This window comes from Homo sapiens, chromosome X, assembly GCF_000001405.40.
Source record: "Homo sapiens chromosome X, GRCh38.p14 Primary Assembly".
NCBI classification, from domain to species: domain Eukaryota; kingdom Metazoa; phylum Chordata; class Mammalia; order Primates; family Hominidae; genus Homo; species Homo sapiens.
The window spans coordinates 67741862-67759000 of NC_000023.11; the positions used below are offsets into that span (position 1 = coordinate 67741862).

General features: G+C 39.8%; 1 long non-coding RNA gene across 1 annotated transcript in view; it reads right to left on the minus strand.

The window, feature by feature from the left end:
* Positions 1–3087: 3087 nt before the first annotated feature.
* The window catches only part of NXTAR (negative expression of androgen receptor regulating lncRNA), a 39942-nt gene continuing 25890 nt past the window's right edge, over positions 3088–17139 (minus strand). The window contains exons 3-5 of the long non-coding RNA XR_938423.3: positions 9365–9403; positions 7643–7745; positions 3088–4008 (exon numbers count right to left, since the gene is read on the minus strand). This is a non-coding gene — a long non-coding RNA (negative expression of androgen receptor regulating lncRNA). The remainder of the gene's footprint in view (positions 4009–7642; positions 7746–9364; positions 9404–17139) is intronic.

The following is a 17139-nucleotide window of genomic DNA, read 5'->3' on the forward strand; positions in this document are numbered from 1 at the left end:
GAGGTTGCAATGTGCCGAGATCACACCACTGCACTCCAGCCTGGGCAACAAGAGCAAAACTCCATCTCAATAAAAAAAAAATGTAGAATTTGTTATTATTAGTAATGAATGTTATATTTTGAATTAAAATTAAACAAATACATAAAGTAATGAAGTCAGTGTCTCTTATACAACTCCTCAACTTAGAGGTTATTTTGAAAATTAAAATGGTACCACCTTTGCCTGTATGCTATTTCATTAGATATGAGAGACCTATAGCCAAAGTGAGACCATTCATTTACTCATTCATACATCACAGAAATCTTCAACAAGATCAGCTGTGTCTCAAGCTTTGTGATGGCTACTGAGGAGGCAGAAGATATGAGATATGGCTTGGAGAAGTTCATAGTTCTAGTAAACAGATAACATCAGTACAATGTAGTCAAGGATGCAACCAAGAAAAACACAAAGTTTATGAAGAAGAAATTGGAGGGAGAAAATCACCAAGGTGAGAAGAGGAGGATCCAAATGTTGTATCACACCTGCACACTGGGCCTTTCTGATTTGGAGTCCACAGACAGTTTAGTCAAGAAGATAGAATGTGCAATAGGTCAAAAGGAAAGAAAGGTCTAGAGCCTATATGCTCCCCAGGTATTGCACAGGGGAATTATCTATACTGCTAAAGAAAAGTCTAGCTGCCTATCACTGAGCAAGAGCTGCCTAATGACTTCTCTACCTCCAGGACCTGCTCACCTTGATTCTCTTGCACATGATCTGTTAATGTGTCAGGTTATGGCTGCGAAAATGAACAAGACTCTGACATTTTTTAGGATGTCAGTAGGAGGCAAACTGCAAATGCCAGTGTCTGTTTTCTTCCTCATGGTTAGACTAGCACTAAGGGAGGGAGGGCTAGAAGATTTGGGGGAGAAATTTTCCTCCTATCCCATTATACCAGCAGACAGATAGGAACCTACAATTTACCTTCTGTCAAAATCCCCTTTATGACTCACTTTCCAGCCCACTCTTCTTCCAGTCTCAGAGCAGGATGTAGCCCAATGGCAACTGGATTGGGTTGATTCCAATATCTCGTTCATTTTTTTCTCCTTCATTCTGTCTCACTTTTCTTTCATTCTGTCTCTGCCTCTCTCTCTCCTTTCCTATCTCTTTCCTCTTCTCTCTCACTTGCTCTGTCTTCTCTTCCTCTCATATTTCTTTCTTCTTCTTTCATTCCTTCTATTCATATTTTCTTTATCTCTCTACTGCTTCCCTTCTCTTAGTGTTCTTGTTCTTTCTCATTTCTACTGCCCTATCCCTCTCTCCCAGCTTAGTCTCTTTCATTCTCCCTCCAATAACAATCTTCCTCTCCTCTCTTCTAATCTTCTGCTCTCAGATTTCACAAGTTCTGTTTTTTTAATGCTCTGCCCAATACCCACTAGGTGCCTGTACAAAACCACCCAAGGAATGCAATTAACTTTGAATTGTACTAGGGCCAATCTTTACCTCAAATAGATCCCAAACTTTGCCTCAAGTATTCCAATTTGACAGATATTTATAGAATAATCTCTAGGTACCAGACATTATGCTTGATTTTATTATTCATAATTTCGTAGACTCTTCACAACAACCTTGCAAAGAAAGAAAGGGCTATGATTCCCATTTTACAAACAAAGAAACTGAACTGAGCGGTGAGGATCAGAGATAAAAGGGGGCATGAGTAAAATCACATACTAAGAAGATGCAGAATTAAGTTTTGTGTCTGGCTCCAAAGCCTATTAAATTCTTAATTTATCTGCCTGGGAATGATTAATACCTACACCAGGAACTGAGACAGACAGCAGAGGTGAAAGATATGCGTGAGGAGGAAATGGAACAAGAGGAATGGCCAGGTGATATAAGCCCCAACTTCCCCTCTGCACAATTTTCCAATCCAAATTTGCCACACTATTGACTTCCTTCTCAGCCTGGTAAAGTGGCCCAGTTCCTAAGTAAGTCTTGACTACAACAGAAATAATCTTGAATTTTTAGCCCCTTCAGCCAATGCAGCCTTGAAAGAAAGTGTACTCCTCAGATGTGGGGTCTAACAGTGGTTTACTATGCTGTGCATCCCACTTCCCCCAAGTCTCCTTTGCTGATGATTGAATCTGATACCCAGTGGGCAATGAGTAAGACATGGGCATCAGTGTACCCTCAAGTTTCACTGTTCTGTCCCCTCAACTCATGTTTGTCTAGTGACTTGTTCTGCCCTGCCTAGGCTGCTTGCATCTACTGGGTCCTATCATTGCAGTCAAAATAGTCTTCCCCTGGATATTTGGTTCCCACCAGGCCCAAGTCACCAAGATCTTCAGGACCCTGGGAGTCCTATAAATGAATAATGAAAAAAACAGAGTTTAACTCAAAGAAATGCCTGAGTTTTGCATCCTCCCCCATAACATTATCTTGCTTCTACAGCTACAATCCAGACTGGAATTAATTAGGTAGTACACATTTCTCAGGTACAGCATAACCTTTCCATGGGGAACTCTGACTGACAGTTTCTAATTTATAAGCTTTATTCTGGTGCATAGACAAACACTGCCATGCTCAGACTGTATCTTTTGAAGGTTATAGCATTTAGACCCCAAAGCTCTTAATTTTATTGGAAATGGGAGAAAAAATGTCATACAAATATTTCATTTTGAAGCATAATGATCCCAACACACACCTCTTACTGCAATAATTACCACCCACTCAGTTTCACCATAGTCTGAAAATCAGCCACAGGAGGGCCCAGCTCCCTGCCTTGTCTGTTTTTGGGGTCCCCAGGCAGCAGAAGTGTGCTTTTTCTTCACCCTGATGGTTTATAGACTATCATCTTTATATAACATATGAACTGGAGCCAGAGAGGGGATTTTGGCTTCAAGTTTAGTATTTTAGTGTGTTCAGTGTAAATACAGAAGCGTCCTTCCAAATATAATGGTGCCATTGAGACATATTCCTAGCCCAGAGTTCCCTAGTGGGCAGGCTGGCAGAAGTACCTGATCATCCAAGCCTAGATTGAGTAAATGTTGCCTGGAAGGAAAAGAAGGAAGAGAAACCAAAAACCAGAGAAGCTTACAGAATTTGGTACCAAGAGAGCTGAGGGGAGAGAAATGGAAATCCCAAGAGAACCACTGGGCAGTGCTTCAACAAGAAAGGCTGAAGAGTAATCTCAGGGGAAAGAACTATGTTGATTAAAGCAAGGGTGAGATGAGAAAGAAATGGGAAATTGTGTAAGGAAGGTGTCTGGGAAGAGAAACACTTGTGTATGGGGACGAGAGAGGATACTATCCAACTCAGAGGTGAGAGAGTTACCTGAGGGCCAGTTGTAGCCAGGACCCTAGTGGTGGCAGCCAAACCTACTAGAAGGAAACATGTTTCTTTGAGGATAAAAGAAGAAAAGGAAGCCCAAATGGAAAACGGTCTAGAGATAGGGGGAATGAGAAAGCAGACTTGCCTGGGTCATGAATAACACCCGGAGGTTTGGCTTGGACTCTCTATTGGAGCATTTACCTGTGGTTCACTGCAAGAGGAGAATTTGTCTTTCTCAGTGCAAGAGGCTCTGGCTTTGTCTACCAAAACCTTGTCCAAAGAGGAGGTTACGAATAAGGACTTAGGGATCCAGGTGTTGAAGAGAAAAGGGTTGGTGAGGCCTTGGCCTTTTCCACATTGTAATTCCATATGGAGCCTTTTTTTCAGGGACTCCCCCAGAAATCTTCATACCTGAGCTCTAGTCCTGGTTCTATCACCAGGTGGTCATAGGTGAGTCACTTCATGTCTATAATTCTTAGTTTCCCCTTCTGTAAATTTAAAATAATAATCTTAATCTCACAGGTCGTTGTTGAAGTGTTGAAGTGTCTCAATAAGTCTTAAGCGAATTTAATGCAGCTGTGACTCTGTCCTGCTATCCGCAAGAGGGCAGATACAGGAAATCCCAAGGTTGTAACACCACTTGCCTTTTGCTCTTGGATGGGCTGGGCCTTGGGCAGGAGTGGAGCAGGAGTCTGGTGACACCTGCAAGATTGAAGATAGGATGGATATCAGGGTAGGGACAAATTGCCAGAATTAAGGTTATTCTCAGAGGATTGAGAGGAAATGGCAGCTACAAGAATGCCCAGTGCAGCTGGAAAGTCACCTCTCACCAGCTCCTCATCTTCATTACTACACTGAAAGAGAAAGTGTCCTTGACCTCAGTTAGTGGAAGCTGTTTCTCTCAAAGTCATCTGGATTTTCTGACACGTGGTTTAAGTCCCTCCACTCTCCCTTTCTCCCTCCTTTCCTCTTCCCTGCCTCTACTTTCACCAGAATAGCTATGAGAACTATCCTCTTTGGGGCTCTGCCCACCTCCAGATTTCCATTCTCGGTGTGAATATTTATGGCTATGTTTCAGAGAATACATAGCCCCAAATCTCTCCACTTGTCCTTTCAGCCTTATACAGCCTTTAGTAAATGTGTGTGGGGGCGGTGGGGGTGGTAGGCACCAGAATTTGTTGAGTGCTAAGTATATGCTGGACACATTGTCAAACACATTGCATTCGTTTTCTCATTTAATCAGAACAAAGGTTGTATGATCACTTTACAAATGAGAAAACTAAGGCTAGGGGGAAGGTCATAAACTTATGCAAGGTTACATAATGAAAAAGCAGCAAAGTCAAGACTATGGTTTTCCAACTCCAAATCCAATGCCCTTGCCACTAGGCATCCCTCTGTGAAAGCCTGGCCTTCTGCCTTCACCTCAATCATGTTTATGTGGCAAAGGATCCCCTTCTGGTTTTACATACATGTGGACCATCATACATAGTGGAGACAAGAAGCCATTTACAGGTGACCTCCACTCGCACTCACACTGGGCATTCTTTCAGTTGTCACTCCTCACCTCCAGATAATCAGCAGGCAGATACTGATGACTCTGTTCATCATTAACACCTTACAGGTCCTCAGAGCCTCCCAGAATTTGCCTAAATAAGGTGCCTTCCATGGCCTGGACCAGATGTCAGGGACCTGACCCTCTTTTCCTTATTCCTATCCTGATGCCATTACCCCCTGGTAGGTTTAGCTCTCACCATTATTCTTATCACAGAGTCCCTTGGTGGGCAGACTGGCAGAGGAACCCTGATCTTTCTAGTCTGGATGGAGTAAATGCTGCCTGGAAGGAAAGCAACCTCAGTTTTGCATCCATGAATCTCACAAGTGGAGCCTTAATGTCCACCTCTGTGCCCTTCATTGTCTTTTTCTGTACAAAGCTAATCAAGGTTTCAAATCAGATAGGCCACCTAAGTTAGCTAATTTCTGCCATTTGGCAGTGATCTGCCACAAACTTGTACCTTGGAAGGATAGTGAACCATCCAGGCCCAAGAGCTCAGCCACAGCTGCTCTGGGAACCCACAGAGTGTGCCTGGCCCATTCTCTAGCCCTGCAGTTTTATTAGCTTCATTTTTTATGTGCGTTTTAACTCTCTGAATGCAGCCAAAACCAACATCAAATAACATCAAGGAACATAAGGTCATGACTTCCCCCCCACAGCGCTCAGCCCCCCCAAATCATTTAGAGGCAGTGTGAACAGAATACACCACAATTTTTCCCCTGCCTGTCTTTTCAGAGGGCGGCAAAGACTGTTTCTGCTCTGTGAGCTATTCTCAGACATTGCTGCATCAGAACTCACTGTGAGAGATGTTTCAGGTCACCATAACCCAAAGAGCAAAAGGAGGGGAAAAAAGGAGGGGTAGGGGAGAAAGAAAATACAGCCAGTAATCGATCTTCAGATCTCTGCCTCCCTGAGGCCATGAGTACTGGGCCCAGTGGTCCTGGCCAGTGCCTTCTGGGAGGGACAGTTGGAGGAACCAACCCCCTGCTTTTCTGCCTCATTGTCTCCCTCCTCTCTTCTTCCTCCTTTCCTTCCTTATCTCCATCCAGGGCCAGCTAGGAACAAGCATTCCAACAGGTTCCCCACATGGGCTACTAATCCCAGCCACCCCAAAGGATTCACCAGTACCTTCCCTTGAGTGTTTGGGTAGGGAAGTCAAGAGCCCCAGACAGGCCTGGGAAGTTTCTCAGCACTGAATACTCAGCACTGGGCCTGAAACCAGATGTGGGAGCCAAGCCGCCCAAGCTGAAGGAGTTCTCCATTCTAGAGAAATTTAGAAAATCAGTTCAGATTACAGTTTTCCTGACCCATACTGCTGGGAGGTAGAGAAAGAACTCTAGGATTGGCTGGATAGAGCTTTAGCTTTTCAGTCAGGAGCCAAGGGTTCTAGGCCTGACTGTGAGTCCTTAAGAAGTCATTTACCTCTCTTTGTCTCAGAATCCCCCAGAAACATAGCAACCACTCCTTCAAATGGATTTTCTCAAAGTGGAACTTTTTTACTTTTTAAAAACAGATAATATGTTTACATTTTGGATGGTAAGTCTTTAATGAAGAGATCTTAGTGGTAGCAGTATGAAAGGAACACCATGTGACAAAGAGAAGATAATTCTTAAACTTTTATTACTTGCTTGCCCTCCCTTAGGAAACAAGGGCTCAGGCCCTTCTACTATTCCCACACTCTTTTTCAACCTTTCTCCCTCTGTTAGAATCTGGTCAGCTCTCTAATGTCTACATCTGTAATGTGGCCAGCGGGTCTCTAGATACCCTACCACTCTAACATCCTATTATTATCTAGCCTCTGAGTTTTCTTCCCCACCCTTCTTGATGAAAACATTTGAGAGTTTAATAATTTTTCCTTAGTGGATAGTTTTGACTCTCTCTATATATAGAACTTATCTCTACCTCTACTTACTACCTACTTATCTACCTATATCTCTCTACTTATCTACCTATATCTACCTCTACTTATCTACCTATATCTGTCTACTTATCTACCTACCTATCTACCTACTTACCTCCCTATGTTAAGTATAGCATTTAGAGCATTAGAGTTTCTTGTGCCAGTGAAAACCAAGGTCAATGGTAATTCCTCTTATAAATGTAATCTATTTTTCTGTGGACCTTTTTCTTATCAAGTGAGCTCAAAATATTAATTAATGAGTTTATTTTGTCCATTGGTAACAAGAACAGGTAAATAACATCTCTCTCCTTCAAATGGGGAGCTATCACTAAAATGGAGTAGATAAAGCTATTTTATTATGGCCTATAAAAAAATCCTACACCCAAATTAGAAACTACGATAGATACTTGGGGTTCCAGTCAAAGACAGTTTTTCTTCTGCAGACAGGTAAAGTTAAAAAATGCTTCCCCAACACTTCCCCCTAACAACTGTCCATCTCTCAGTCAGTGAAGGGTTAGAGACAAGGAAAGAAAAACTGGAAGAAAGCTCTGGGCAGTCTTATGACCTCTATTCCAGAACAGGGAGATGGGTGAAAGCGGAAACATTTAGGTCACCTTCCTCATCCATTTCTCTTGGTTTATCGGGTTATATCAGAAGTTCTTAAGCTTTCTTGGTTGCCAATGTCCTTAGCATCTCATTAATTCACAGTGCCGCTAGGCCAAAATAAATATCTAACAGTTTCATTTATTCAGAAGTTAAGTTCACAAAACTTAATAAGTATTTATACCCTTAATAGCTTAATAGCCACTTAAAATCATAATACACATAAATTAAAAGAAAAATATTAATATGCATATTAATGGAGAAAAATATTTTTATTTTACCTTAAATAGATACCTTTCAGGCAGTGCACAGCTTCTCAGATCTTGAAATCAGATTGGACACCACCACCTGCATTTCCTGCTTCATGTGGATTTTCACACAGCACTTGATTTTTGTCACAGCAGCCATCAAAAGGAATGTAGTACAATCTAATGTTGAAATTGTGAACTGACACAAGCTAGTAGCTTGTGGAATGTCTGACAGATGTCTAGTGTCATTGTGTTCCCCTCAGAAATGTAAAATATCCCACGAAGGCCCTGTGAGTTCACAGTTGTGCCCCGGGAAACCTCAGCTCATAATCTGGGAAACCTAGGGTTAGATCAACAAATTCCTGGCCATTCTTAGACATAACTTCCTTCCTTCTCCCTTCACTGGTGGAAATGTATTTTCTTAGTTCTATTTCCCCAGAATACCCTTTGCTGTAATAGCAATCTGAAATAAAATAAAAAGTATGTCTACATCCTCCATAAAATTGCCATTGAAAGTATGTTGTACTCTTTCCCCTTACAAGACATGTTTCTTATTGTAGTTAGAGAGATCTTTTTAAAAATGCACATCAGACACACCCATCAGATTGGAAAACATTTGGAAGACTGGCAATAGCAAGTGGTAATGAAGATGTAGAATAATGGGAGCTCTCATATATTGTTGATGGCAGTGTAAATTGGAAAGCCACTTAGTAAAAATATCTGACATTATCTACTAAAGTTAAACATATTTGTACTCTATGATCTAGATATTCTACAACAACTGTTATGACTTGAAAACTAACATACTTATGCATCATAATACATATATCAGAATGCTCATGATAGCACTGTTTATAATAGCACCAATTTTGAAGCAACTTAAATGCTTATGTAGAGTAGAATGAATATGTAGATTGTAGTGTATTTGTACAATGGAATATTATATGGCAATGGAAACAAAGGAACTATAGTTACATGCAAGCAACAACATGTATTGATCTTACAAGCATAATGTTGAGCAAAAGAAATAAAATAACATATACTATATGATTCCGTTAATATAAGGTTTGTAAAAAGGAAAAATCTAGCTATAATTTTGTAGATGTATATGCAGGTATAAAACTATATTTAAAAAGACATACTTTTAGAACTTCCAGATAGCTGCAGACATGGATATTTCTAAAGGGTGACGCACCCAGGGAGGGCATGCAGCTCCACACCCCTTCCCTCATACCTCACCATATGCATCCCTTTGTCTGTGTCATTTATAATATTGTTATAATAAACTGGTAAACATTTAAAGAAGACATATTTCTGGTTCTGCCAAGATGATATAGCCCCCATGGGACTGGGGCTGAACCTCCACAATCACCTGACAGCAATAAATCTGTATGAGGCAATGCAAAGCAGAGCTAGTTGGCACTTATTCCCTCTCCTCTCACCTCCTCCTATGTCAGCAGGGTCTAGTGGAAGCTGAGCTTTCACCCCCATCTCACAGCAACAGAGCAATTTGAATCAGCTCTCTTTGGGGGTGGGGAGGCAGTGGAACCAGTGAGGAGTTGATTTTACACGTCCACTTGGAGGCAACAAGAGGGTACCCTGCTTTCACTGGGAAGGCGTCAGAGGAGTGAGGAGTGGAGGGAGTGGCTAAATTTCTACCTTTTCCATATGCAGTGAAGCAGTACAAGTTAGTGCACCGCTTTGACAGAGGTGGCATCAGCAGGGCCCAGTGACAATTTGAACAAACATACCCACCTGATCCTTGCATGACATCTCAATAGGGGAGAGTGTCTTCTTTAAAAAAATATAAAACAAATTAAAATATTTAAATGAGACTCACTCAGAATATCATAACACAATATCCAACAAATCCAGAGTCCAATAAAAACATTAACTACTATATCAACCATGAAAATCACAACTTCAATGAGAAAAACAATCAAATGACACCAACAATTAGACGTTGAAAATTTCTAACAAGGCTTTTAAAGCAGCTATCAGAAAATGATTCAACAAGCAATTACAAATTTTCTTGAATCAAATGAAAAGAATTAGAAACTCTCAGCAAAGAAAAAGAAGTTATAAAAAAAAAAACTAACTGGCAATCTAATGCCAGAAAAAAATTCTCACTAGTTGAGCTAAATAGTAAAGTGGAGATGACAGAGGATAGAATAAAAAAATTGAGGCCATAACAATAGAATTCACACAATCTGAATAACAGAGAAAATAGACGGAAAAAAATGAACAGAGCATGGGATACCTATTAGAGAATAATGAAAGATCTACTGTTTGGATCATTAGAGTTCAAGAAATAGAAAACAGAAGGTGTTGACACATTTTTCAACCACTAAAAGAAAAAACTGTCACATTTTCTTAATCCAGTCTATCATTGATGGACATTTGTGTTGGTTCCAAGTCTTTGCTACTGTGAATAGTGCCGCAATAAACATATGTGTGCATGTGTCTTTATAGCAGCATGATTTATAATCCTTTGGGTATATACCCATGCACGTTGTGCACAAGTACCCTAAAACTTAGAGAATAATAAAACAAAAAAAAGAAAAACCTGTCAACCCAGTATTCTATATCCAGCTAAAATAAACTTCATGAATGATGGGAAAAATGAAGACATCCTCAAATTAACTACAATTAAAAGAATTTATTGTCAGCATACTTACCCTAAACAAATGACTAAAAGAAGTTTTTAAATCAAAATAAATGATAACAGAAGAAAGCTTGGAACTTTTGAAAAGAAAGAACATTGCCATGAGTAAAAATAGGGGTAAATATAGTAGAATATCTTACTTCTCTTGAGTTTCTTAAATCAATATTTGGAGATTGATGTAAAAATTATAAAACTGTCTAATGTCATACCCCGTGAATACAGAAGAAATACATAACAAACTACATTTTTAAGTAGGAAGGATAAAGAGACCTAAAGAAAATGAGGTTTCTACAACTCACTCAAAATAGTAAAACATTGATACCAGCAAACTATGGTGAGTTATGTATGTATATTGCAATATCTGGAGCAATTGCTAAGAAAATGGTGCAAAGCAATATACTCAAAAACACTAAAAATAAATTAAGATGGAATCCTTAAAAATGATCAGATAACCTAGAAGAATATAAAAAAGATATCAAAGGAACAAGAAACAGATAAATTAAACAGGAAAAAAAATAGTACAGACTAACATGACATTTACCTTAAATATAAATGGGCTAAATATAAGTAAAAGAGCTTTCAAAACTGGAAAAATAATTTATTCAATGATATGCTGTCTACAAGAAACCTACTTCAAATACAATGGCGTTGCTATGTTAAAAATAAAAAGATGGAAAAAGAGATACCATGAAAATATTAATTTAAAAAGCAGGAATATCTATATTGATATAAGATAAAGCCTACATTAGGGCAAAAAATACGATGGATGAAAAGGGATATTACATAATAATATAAAGATCAGTCCACTGGAAGGACATATAATTCTAAATGTGTATGCACCAAAAACTGATACTCAGATAACAATGAAAAAAAATGGTAGAGTTGAAAAGAGAAATAGACAAATCCAAAACTGTAGTTGAGAACTTCAACATTCTACTCTCAGAGATTTATAGAACCACTCAACAGAAAATCAACAAAACAGTATATAGAAACACTGAACCATGCAATCCACCCAAATGACCCAACCAAAAAACTATTATCTATAAGAATTCTCAAAACTCTAAACGATCTAGTTAACAAATGGGCAAAAGAAAGAGAAGACATTTTGCTGAAGAGAATATACAATTGACAAGCATATAAAAAGGGGTTCAACATAATTGTACATTAGTGAAATGCAAATTAAAACAACATCACTAAGAAACATCACTACACACCTATCAGAATGGCTAAAACTAAAGACAATGGCAACACCAAATGCCGGTGAGAACATGAACAAACTGCATGATGTACATTTCTAGTGACAATTTGAAATGGTACAACTACCTTGGAAAATAATTTATCAGTATCTTAGAAATTTAAACATGTACAATCCAGCAATTGCACTCTTGGGCATTTATCCCAAAGAAATTAAAATTTATGGTCACACAAAAATCTATACACTAATGTTTACAATATCTTTATTCTTAATATTCCAAAGCTGGAAACAATCCAATGTGCTTCAACAGATGAATAGTTAAGCAAACTGTGCTAAATCTATACCATGGAATACTACTTAGCAATAAAAAGGAATGAATTAGTGATAAATGCAACTATTTGGGAGAATCTCCAGGGAATTATGCTGAGTGAAAAAAGCCATTCCAAAAAGGTCACATACTGTGTATATGTGATCGTTTATATAACATTCTGGAAATGAAAAAATTAGAGAAATGGAAAATATGGAGAACAGATTAGTAGTTTCTAGGGTTCAGGAATGAGTGGGGTGGGGGAAAAGGAAGCAAAAGGCAAGTATGGCTGTAAAAGGACAATCAGAGGGACTATTGTGGTGTTCTCTATCTTGACTGTATTAATGTCAATATCCTGGTTGTAATATTGTACAATAAGTTTGCTAGATATTATTACTGAGGAAAACTTGGTAAAGAGTACAGGGATCTCTCTGTATCATTTCTTACAACTGCATATAAATCTGTAATTACCATAAAATAGAAAGTTTATCTCATAAAAATAAAAAAAAAAAACCCATGGGCCCTACAAATGTCAGGACAGTGATTACCTCTGAGGGAAGGAAGAAGGTTATGATCTAGTCACATAAGCGTTTCTGTGGTCTTAGCAATGTATTATTGCAAATTTATTGACTTGGGAGATGGCTACACAGATATCATTGTATAAATATTTATTGCATTGTGTAAACAAGTCTTATGCACATTGCTACATATGTGTCATATATCATAGTGGAAAAATTTTTTTTAAATACACATTGGATAATTTCATTTCTTTGCTTAAAATTCTCCAATGGCTTCTTTTGCTCATAGGATAAAAATCCAAACCCCTCATTGAGGCCTACAGAGCCTTCTTCACCAATCATTCTTCTCATGCTCTGTGTTCCTGACATACTCACCTTTTAACAGGTCCTCCTTTGTTAGAGTTTTTGCACATGCTTTTCCATCAACCCAGAATGTCTGATTACTCTCTCTACCTCTCTTCACCTATAGATTTCAACTAAAATCTCCAGGAGTTTATCAAATCCCCTCTGCGATATGCTTTCTTGACTCCCTGTGTTTCACCTTACTACCACCTTCATAGTTTACAATAGTATATTTTGAGTAATTTGAGTAATAATTTGAGTACTGCCTGTGTCCTCTTTGACTCCTAGGCCTCCAGACCTACAGCTTAAGCTCCATAAGTGCAAGAATCCTCTCTGCCTTGTTTCACACAGTGCCTAGAGCAGTTCCTCCTAGAACATAACAAGAACTCAATATATATTTGTGGAATAAGTTGATTGAAATTCCATTATGTCATTCTGTGTTACTTTTGGAGGCAACATAGGTTGAAAAGGTTCTTTAGATTAAAATTGATCCAATCTTGGTCAAATCTTGACTCTATCATATCCTAGATATTGATCTTGGGCAGGATTATTTATCACTCTGATATTTAGTTTCACCATCTTCAAAATAAATCTTATCTAACATGGTTGTTGCAAAGTCAAAAGGAAATAATTCATGTTCTCTTTTCATATAATTCAAAAAATCTTTGTTTAGCATAAATAACTTGTTTTCTTTTCTCAAACATAGAAATTATGTAGCCCACCATATTTCCCTTTTTTGCTCTAGCCTGTATGAAGCTCAAACACTAAACTTATCAGAGCAAGCACTCTAAGTGCCTTAGTTGCATTAGGTGAGATCTAAGAACCTTGTTGATGGCTATCGTTTTTGGGTCTTTCTAGGGTAGTGCTCAGGATAGATAGAAGAGCATTCACTGAATGAGCCCTTAAGGACTGAAATATTCTTCCAACCATTGGCTTTTGCACGTATGAAGCAAGTAGTTGACTACTTAGCATGCTCTGATAAGCCTAAGCAGAGTTGCAAATAAATATAATTTTTGTTATTCTAATGCTTACTCATTTCCAGAGGATACTGCCAGGCAGTATCTTAGTGCTGTAGAAGAAAGTGGTATGATCAATTAGTGATTTGTGCACAGGCACAGGAAGGGGGAATGGTGGCATCTTTATTACGTGACTATCATTCCAGATCTTAGAATATATTTCCCTATCACATGACCCAATGCATGAAATTCCACCACTGGTGCTTTGTGCCTCTGGGAAGGCGAAGGGAACAGCCTGCGACTTATTAGCAGGCCTCATAGTAAAAACTGGTTGAGAGACAGCTTGGACCTGATGGTAATGGCACATAGTACAAAAATGGCTGCTGAAAGCTCAGAGCATGGAGGAAAAATAAAACTTCCTAGGTGAAGGCTGTATTCAGTGCTTGTCTGAGCCTCCTGGGCTCTCTACACCCTTTAGAAGCCACCACACAGAAGTGATAATGCTAGAGTTGACACTCACCTTGGTCCTTTAAATTATGTTGTATTCTTAGATAAGTCACCTGAAGCCTGTGGGGCTCCAAAACCGAAAGTCTGTAGAGAAGTATGTATAGATAACTCAGTTTCCACAGACCAGCTAGGAAGACTTCCCTCTCTCCCTCACTCCTCTTGTCCACCCCTTCGTTTCCTCCTTCCCTCCTTGCTAACCTCTTCCCTCTTGCTCCCAGTTGTCTCCCCAAACTCTTTCATGCTACTTCCTGTCAAAATTCCGAGCTGTGTCCCTTCTGTGTCATCAGGGTGTGTCCCCTACCCTGGATCCCTTCAGGAGCCTTGATTCAGAAACACTTATGGACTGCAGATGCCAAGTTATTATTCATTACAAAGAAGCTATTTATCCACTAAGGCTAGCAAATATAAGCTGAAAGTGTGGTTTCCAGTGGAAATCTTTGGAGTAAGATCATGGGAAGCATCTAGGGGACACAGAGAGCACAAGATAGGCCACTCCCTGGTCTTTCTCCTCCTCTACAATTCTGAGAGCAGCCTGACTGCGCCAGGCTAAACATCCCATTACCTTCTGGACTTACACACACATATGCACACATGCACACATGCACACACAGGCCACACATCCCCAGACTCAGGGAAGATTAGTGTGATCTTCCTTCCTTCCTCCCTTAAAACAGGAGCTCTATGAGGAAAAGATGGTGTTTAGCTCACATAGGGCCTGGCGTTGAGGATGTAACCATTTGGGGACTGACTGAATGAATGCACTGGAAGAACTTTAAAGTCCGCTAATGGAGACTCCTGGTTTACATTTTATTACATACTATATTGCAAATATGGAACCTGGTTTGAGGAGGGGAAAGGCTACAGAGTGACTTAAGGGCAGAGCTAGGGCTTAATTCTAATCATTTAGATCTTCAGACAAAAGTCCTTCCTGCTATAGAGAGCTAGAATTCATGAATTTGAACTTTGGCTCTGACACTTCCTAGCTGTGGTAACTTGGGCTACCCTCTGTGCCTCAGTTTCTTTGTATATAAAATGAAGATAATAATAGTACGTAACTCATTGATGCCTTGTGAGGATTAAATAGCTTCATCCATTTCTAGCACTTAGAATATTCCAGGTCCATAGAAAAATGTTTAATAAATATTAGGTATTATTATTTTGCCTACCTCTCTGAGCCTCATAAGCCTGGCATACAATAGGCGCTTCCTAGACCTCAAGTCCTTTCTACCTCTTCCTACCTTCTTTAGTGCTCTCTTTCATGCAGGAACTTTGGTCTCAAACTTTTTGCCATTTGTTGTGATCTCCAGTACATGGACTTCCTACTGCCCCACCTTTATTGTGTGTGTGCATGCATACACACACAGAGAGAGAGAGAGAGAAAAAGAAGAAAGAAAGAAAGAAAGAAAGAAAGAAAGAAAGAAAGAAAGAAAGAAAGAAAGAAAGGAAGAAAATAGAACAAATCAGCTTATATTCAGTATTTTTTTAGTATTTTCTGTGTCAGCTCTCTGAGGGGCACTGAGACCATAAAGATGAACATGACATGGTCTCCACCCTCAAAGGGATCACTTTCTAGCAGAGGAGACATTCACACACACTAGCTATTTATTCCATATCCAGAGCATATGGGAGCTAAGACAGAGAGAAAATATGGATTCTAACCTTATTTAGAAGGAATGAGAACATGGGAAGGAAGGAGAATCAAGGAAGGAAATAGAGGTGTATAGGTCAGAGTTGCAGGGAACAGAGCAGTGTAGAGAAGAGAGTGCTTCTGGTGGGGCAAGTAGAAAATGTTCAACACAGATGAGGAATATTGGCAGGGGATGAGATTTGGAATGTACCTTGAGTGTGAAGTGCCTGTGGGCTCTCCAGGTGGAGATAGCAGTTATAGTTGGCTAATACCGATCTAGAGTTTGAGAATGAAGTTAGGGGTGAAGAGCTGGATTGAGGAAAGATTAACACAGAAGTAAGACTTGAGGCCCTGAGATAGAGGAAACCAGATGGTTAAAGTAATTAGGCAGGGAAGACCCAGTTCTCAGAGGCCCTTCTTTTGGAGCTATGACTGTGGCCTAGCCCAGAGAAGCTTCTAGAACATTTCTTTCAAGACGAGCTCTTAGAATCTCATCAATGCTCCCCTACTCTGTACAATGTGAATTAGAAAAAGATACCTTCTTTGGGCAGACCAAGTACACAAAGATGTCCCTTCTGGGTGGGTACAGAATTATGAGCTGCCATTTGGCAAGTAGGACAAGTCTGCCTTTTAGTCTTTGCTTGCCTTCTCAGCTTTTGTTGTGTAAGGCATAAGTAGTGCCACCCTACAATGTGGTCTTGAGTACCACGACCAGGTGGCTGGATGCAGGTGGAGAAAGTCATCAGTGTTAGCCTGGCTTTCTCTGAGGGAAAGCTACCTAGGTTCTCATACAAGGAAGAGGGCCTCAAGTCTTCTGCTATGGCTGGAAAAAAATATTTTTTCCAGAATGTTCATGGTTGTTATCCATGGTTGTTATCCGCAAGTTTTGGTATTTCAGGGACTTAAGCAGGAATAAGTTTTCATGATATAATTATAGAGCAGTTAAACAAAGACTTTTGGTTTGGGGTCTTGTCCTAAAAACGGCCCATCAAAAGAGTCTTAGTTGGCTTTACTGAGAAGGTACAAGTACTAAGCCCTCAGCAGATGTTTATCTGCCTCCCTCACTCCTTCAACCTTTTGTAGCTGGATGAGAAGCCCTCTCAGTAGCCCCGGAGTCCAGCTACTCAGAGATGAAGTCAGATTCCCTAGATCCAGGCATTATAAACCTGCTGCTAGTTAGGCTCATAATCACTGACCTGGGGTGTGGGTGGGGGGCTGGCTTTAGAGGACTGAAGGCACAAGATAGGCAACCCAGGCAGAAACTCAGATTTGGGGCCCCGGGACAGTACCATAACAGTAGCAAAAGGAAGCCAAGTAGGACTTGTTTGGGGCTGGTACTACAGGCCCAGTCCAAGACAGGTTGGGTTAACTGATTAGGTCAAAAGGGCCCTAGCTATTCTTGGAGGAAGGAGG